A 7,221-nucleotide genomic window follows, 5' to 3' on the forward strand; every position below is an offset into this window, starting at 1 on the left:
ATTTGAAATGAATTCTCATTGGAATATGTAGATCTCAGTATAAGTTTGTTGTTAGTTGTACCTAACTAATTATTGTATTTTATTAAATTCCATCTGCAAATAATGCAAAGATCTTGTTGAAATCTAGTTTTAAGTTTATATAGTATTACATTGTGTAGATATAACATATTTAGCCAATTCCATATTGACTCACACTTAAGGTATTTTTTTCTTCTATGATAAACATATTACAATTAGTAATCTTGTACATTTGTCATTTGTACATTTGCAAGAATATCTGTAGGATACATTCCTGGAAATTGAATTGCTGGGTTAAGGACTGTAATTTTGTAATTTTGCTAGATATTGCCAAATTGCCTTCCACGTGGGCTTGTATGACGAAGATGGCTAGCATACCCTATTACCAAAGGTTAAGATATTTGCTAATATTAGAGATGAAACATAATTTGTCAGCAAAGTTTCAATTTCAGCTTCCCTTATTTCAAGCTGTCTGAGCATCTTTTCTTATCTTCAGAAGCCATTTGTGGACTTTTTTCTCTCTCTCTCTCTCTTTTTTTTTTTTTTTAATTGAGACAGAGTCTCCCTCTGTTGTCCAGGCTGGAGCTCAGTAGTGTGATCTCGGCTCATTGCAACCTCCACCTCGCAGGTTGAAGCGATTCTCGTGCCTCAGCCTCCCGAGTAGCTGGTATTACAGGCATGTGCCCCCACGCCCAGATAATTTTTGTATTTTTAGTAGAGATGGTGTTTCACCATGTCTGCCAGACTGGTCTCAAACTCCTGATCTCAAGCAATCTGCTCGCCTCAACCTCCCAAAGTGCTGAAATTATAGGCATGATCCACGGCATCTGGCCTGTGTGCTTTTTCTTGTGAATTGTCTATAATACGAGAAAATACATAGGTTTTTCTTCAAACATCTTTTTCAAAGTGCTTTGAAATAGGAATTTTATAGTCAATGAGAAAATAGAGACAGATTGTCTTTTTTTTCAAAAATGCTTGTTTAGCAAGTTTTCGGATACATAGTAAATATACAAAAGCCATTTCTATTCTTATATACTAGGAATCAAAATATTTTAGATTCTTCTAAAATAAAAAATATCATTTACAACAGCACACACAAGAATATGACGTACTTAAATGTAAACCTAACAAAATCTGTGCAGGATATATATTCTGACAACTGTAAGACAGATGAAAAACTAAAGAAGACCTAAGTGGAAAAGAAATACCATGTTCCTGAATTTAAAAATTCTATGTTGTTAAGATTTAATCTATAGATTTAATGGAATTCCAATTAAAATCCCAGAAAATTGTTTTGAAAATATCAATAAGATGATCTTAAAACTTATACGGAAGGGCAAATGGACTACAATAAACAAAACTATTCAGAAAAAGAACAAAATTGAAGGACTCATTCTACATGATTTTAAGACAATATAAAGCTGTAGTAATCAAGAGAGAATGATATTGGTGGGAAGATAGACCCATAGACCAGTGGAACAGAAGAGAGAACCCAGAAATAGATCTATGAATATTTAGTCAACAACATTTTTTATAAAGATGCTAATTAAATTCAATGGAAAAATGATGTTCTTTTCACCAAATGGTACTAAAATAAGACTGTCTATGCTCAAAACACATGTTCAAAACCAACAAAATAAAAGAAGGCATATTGAAGAATACATACCTTATATCTCATATAAAAATTAATCTAAAATGGATCAAAGACATAAAAGTAAAAAATGAAACTATGAAATTCTATAAGTAAACATAGAAAATCAGCAGGACTTGGGTTTGGCAATAACATTTTAGACACAACAACAAAAGCACAATCCATGAAAGAAAAAAAAAACGTTTAGTTGGACTTGATCAAAATTAAAAATGTTTGCTCTTTGAAAGACACTGTTAAGAGAATGAAAAGACTAGCTACAGACTGGAAGAAATATTTATAAATCACATGTCTGATGAAAGCCTTGTATTCAGAATATATAAAGAACTCTTAAAATTTTACCATAAGCAAACATATGACCCAATTAAAAAATGGGCAACTGATTTAAGCAGACGCTTCATCATATAAGAAATCCAAATGACAAATAAGCATATGAAAAGATGATCAATATCATTGTCACCAGGGAAGTATAAATTAAAACCACAATTAGATATCACTTCTCACTGATTAGAATTGCTAAAATCAATCAGACGACACCAAATGATGATGAAGACAGAGAACCGTAAGAATTCCCATTTATCACTGGTGGAAATGCAAAGTGGTACAGTCACTTTGGAAAACGGTTTGGCAGTTTCTTATAAAGTTAAACACAGACTTATATAAATCAACAATCACACGCCTAGGTATTTAATCAAGTGAATCAGAAACTTACGTTCACACAAAAACAAGCTAACCAATGTTTATAGCAACTTTATTCATAATCACTAAAAAATGGAAGCAACCAAGATGACCTTCAACAGGCAAATATATTTAAAAACCGGGATCTAGCCATACAATGGAATACTACTCAGCAATGAAAGGAATGAGCTATTTGATTCCTGCAACAATGTGGATGAATCTTAAATGCATTTTGCTAAATAAAAGAAGCCAGACCCAGAAGACTACATGTTATATAATTCCAGGCGTATGACATTATGGAAAAGGCAAAACTGTGGGGATGGAAAACAGTTCAGTGATTGTCAAAGATTAGAGGAGAAATCAGCTAAAAAGGGACCACACACGTTCTATTTTAGGTCATTGGAACTGTTCTCTATGGTACTGAGGTAGTTGATACACGGCTTCATGAATTTGTCAAAACCCATAGGCGCATACACCACAAAGGGGGAGCTTCATTGTATGCTAATTTAAAAACTCATCCAGGATGTTGAGGGATACCAGGATAGAATTTAATCTGCGACAAAAAGACCTAACTGTATTACAAATGTATGACATACATTTGCTGAAGGAGTATGAAAAGAGCCACTGATCTAGGTAACTTTGGAAAACAGTGTTTTGACTGGATATTTAAAGTCTAAAGACGAAACAATCTGTACATAAACACTGTATTCCAGTTGGTGAATTTCTTTCTCATAGGGGTAAATGTTAACAATTCTTTTTTTTTTTTTTTTTGAGACAGAGTCTCCATCTGTCACCCAGGCTGGCGTCCAGTAGTGAGATCTCGGCTCACTGCACCCTCTGCCTCCCAGGTTCAAGCGATTCTCCTGCCTCAGCCTCCCCAGTAGCTGAGATTACAGGCATGCACTCCCACACCCAGCTAATTTTTGTATTTTTAGTAGAGACGGGGTTTCGTCATGTTATCCAGGCTGGTCTTGAACTCCTGACCTCAGGTGACCCAGCCGCCTCGGCCTCCCAAAGTGCTGGGATTACAGGCATGAACCACCATGCCTGGCCAGTGTCAGCAATTCTGAAACTACTTTACATATAAACAAATGAAGAAAAGCATTGCAGACGATGGGAGCCAGATTTCACACTGTCAGAGAGAGAAGTTAAAAACAAGCAAAAGAGAAAGACTAGAATTGAACTCTGTGATACTGGATTAGAGTGGGAGACATGAATATAAATCTGTCCATCTACCTAGAAACAGTGGCACTCCAGTAGCAATGAGCATTCTCAATACACAGACTTGCTTCTAATACCATTTCATTCTCCAGTAAAAGAAACCAGGACTCTTTAGAAAATAGGCTGATTGGCCAGGCACGGTGGCTTATGCCTGTAATCCCAGCATTTTGGGAGGCCAAGGCGGGTGGATCACAAGGTCAGGAGATCGAGACCATCCTGGCCAACATAGTGAAACCCCGTCTGTACTAAAAATACAAAAAATTAGCTGGGCATGGTGGTGCGCGCCTGTAGTCCCAGCTACTCAGGAGGCTGAGGCAGGAGAATCACTTGAACCCAGGAGGTGGAGGCTGCAGTGAGGCAAGACTGCAGCCCTGCACTCCAGCCTGGGCGACAGAGCAAGACTCTGTCTCAAAAGAAAAAGAAAACAGGCTGATTTCAGGACTGGGTCAGGGAAAATGCAAAATAAGTGTGCAGTATCTTGTTGGTCCCAGAAAATAAGGAAATGCTGCGGTTGGGGGAGGCGCATATCAAAGAAACACAGGAACCAAACTGAGAAAATTCCCAATGGCCAAAACTGGGACAATCACACAACAAAATAAATAACGATAGCACTGGATTCTAACTCAGAGAATAAAATAAATATATATGAGGACATACTGATATAAATAACTGATTGAATAAATAAATATCTGAGGACAAGAAACAAGTCTGTCTCACAGAAGAATTCTAAGTAATCTGTGTAATCCCCCTCCAGGAAATGGAGTTTAATTCTCCTCCCTTTGAGTAGGGGCTGGACTGACTGACTTGCTTCCCACAGATAGAATATAGAAAGGGGAAAATGGTGACTTTCTGGTGAAGAAACTATCTTAGCCAAGTTATCCAGGTTAACCTCATCAAGGATGAGTCATGTTATGTCCCTCGATGGGACGTGATGAGAAGGGCACTTCACCTCTGTGGTTTTCTTTCCCCAAAATCCATAACCCCACTCAAATCATGAGAAAACATTAATAAAACCCCAAAGGATGGACATCCACAAAATACCTGACTGCTGATCCTCAAGTATGTCAAAGTCAAGAAAAGCAAGGCTGAGAAAACGCTAGACTGGAAGAGACTAAACAAGTATGAGAACTAAAAACAGTGCGGTGTCCTGGATTGGATCCTGGGATAGAAAAAGGACAATATTAGAAAAACGAGTGAAAGCTGAATAAAGCCTGCAGTTAATGCATTGTACCAATGTTAATTTCTTGGTTTTGACAAACGTGCTGTAGACGTGTAAGATGTTCATGTTAGGGAAACTGGGAAAAGGGTATGTGGGACTCTGGACTCCGCACGACTTTTCTATAAATCTAAAATGATTCCAAAGTAAGTTTAAAAATCTGTTAGCTAGCATACTGTTGATAGCCACTTATCACAGAAAAGGTGAGCGGATTTGAATTGCTTGATTATTGTAAAATAAAAGTGATTAACCTCTACAGTGGCCAATGATTCTAACTACGTTGCCAATGAGAAACCCAGCACACAGGTGCCACAAAGGGTCTTCAAAGTCGCTCCTCTTCTCATGATAAATTATGTGAGGGTTCTGTTGTTTGAAGGTCTCATTTTAATCAAATTAACTGTATTAATTTCACTCTACCAATACAGTCTGATCCTACTTACTTTTCATATAAAATGGGACCACACTGGTGATATTGTGTGCCACCTAAACGGCCACATATCGCAGTAAACTAAAAGAAGCAAATGGATAGATACATTATTCTCCATCCTTTTATCTGGGGACCATAGAAAGTAAGATGAAGACACAAGAGCCAAACAACACAGGGGTAAAATTTCAAGCTCCTAAGCTGACTTACACATTTACCTACATGGAGTCACCAGCTGCAAAGCGGAGACCACGCAGAAACACGAAGCAAATCAAACATAGACTTGGTCAGCTCAGTGACGATGATGGCAGCAGAGGTTTTAAATGCGTGCAGTGTTTTCATTTATTTGTTTATTTTAAAATTTGGGGTAAAGTAGACATTACATAAAATGTACTGTTTTAACCATTTTAAAGTATACAATGAGAGTCATTAAGTACATTCACAGCACACATCCAACGGTTCTCTCTAGTTCCATAACTTTTTCATCTCCCCAAAAGGAAACTCTGTTCCCATTAATTCACTTCCCATTTCCCCTTTTCCCAGCTCTGGTACCCACTGCTCTGTGTTCTGTCTCTATGGATTTACCTGTTCTGGGTATTTCCTATAACTGGGTCTACAATGTTTTTACCAGTGTTTTTCAAAGTGTAGTTCTCACCATCAGCCTGGGAACCTCACCTGAAAAACGTGTTAGAATAAAATTTTCTTGATCTTAGTCTAGGTCTGCAGAATCAGAATTAGGGGTGTGGTGGCCTCTAGGAGTCTGAGATTTGGCATGCTCCCCAGGTGATCCTAATGCCCACTAAAGTGTGAGAAAATCTGAAATAGTTAGTCCTCTCCATCTTCTATTAACCTTGACACCGTGGATGGCCACTTTCCTGTGGGCTCAGCTGGCCAACTTGACAAATGAATTTACGATTGGGAATTAATTACTGAGGTTGACTCAATGTGTAACTTTTCCCAACAGAATGGCAATATGAATTGAGACATCTTCAAATACAGTTTTCAGACTGAAAGCTTTAGCTCTTCAGAGACTAAAATCCCCATGATGTTACCTTAGGACTGAGCTCCCTGTTCCCCAAACCCTGCACCAGGAGGTCTGAGCCACCTTAGGGAATGGACACACCCACTCCTAATCCCCAGAGCAATCTGACTTGCTCTCCAGCTCTAATTTCTGTGGGTGTAGGAGCAGTGGAAGGAGCTTGAATATTTGGGCTCTGAATAATAATTGGTTTCAAATTTGTTAGAAAACAAAAAGTCACTGCCTTAACCCAAATCAATGAACTCCTACTAGTCAGATTTCTGGCACTGTTATAGACCAGTGCGGGAGTCATTATGACATTAGGGTGACAGACAGGGCTGAGTCTAAGACTACTCTAGGGAACTTTGGGGATTGTAGCACATGCCCTAAGTTTCAGGGGTTCCCACAGGTAATGCATCTCTAAGTCAAGTCCATTGGGTAAGTCTGGTCGCTAACTCCTGAGCTCAGGTGAGCCTCCTGCCTCAGGCTCGCAAGTAACTGAGAATGCAGTCATACACCACCACACCTAATTTTTAAAAATATTTTTTTAGAGACGAGGTCTCACTATGTTGGTGGTCTCAGCTGAAGTGATCCCCCTGCACCAGTCTCCTGAATTACTGGAATTACGGCCATGCACCACTGTGCCCAGCTCCTCTTGCCCATTTCTGTTTTTTCTGTGATCCCCTTGCTCATTTTTTAAACATTTTTGTCTTTAGGTTTTTAGCCTGGTTTTATCTTCTTGCTCTACCTACCCTGTCCCTGGTTATCTTCTTGGCTTCTTCATCCCCAAATTTATCTCTGGCTGAGATTTCTCTCCTGAGGTTCAGGCCAACATACACAACTGCCAAGACATCCCCACATGGGGACTGGCAATAAACAGATGTATGTAAAAGACACAAGGAATAATTGTCCCATGCTTAGTGAAGGAGAGGGGAAAGAAAAGAGAGAGAAAAACATCAAACATTTCTCCAATGTTTCAAGCCTCAGCACCACCAATC

The sequence above is a fragment of the Homo sapiens genome, chromosome 10 (genome assembly GCF_000001405.40).
Source record: "Homo sapiens chromosome 10, GRCh38.p14 Primary Assembly".
Classification (NCBI taxonomy): domain Eukaryota; kingdom Metazoa; phylum Chordata; class Mammalia; order Primates; family Hominidae; genus Homo; species Homo sapiens.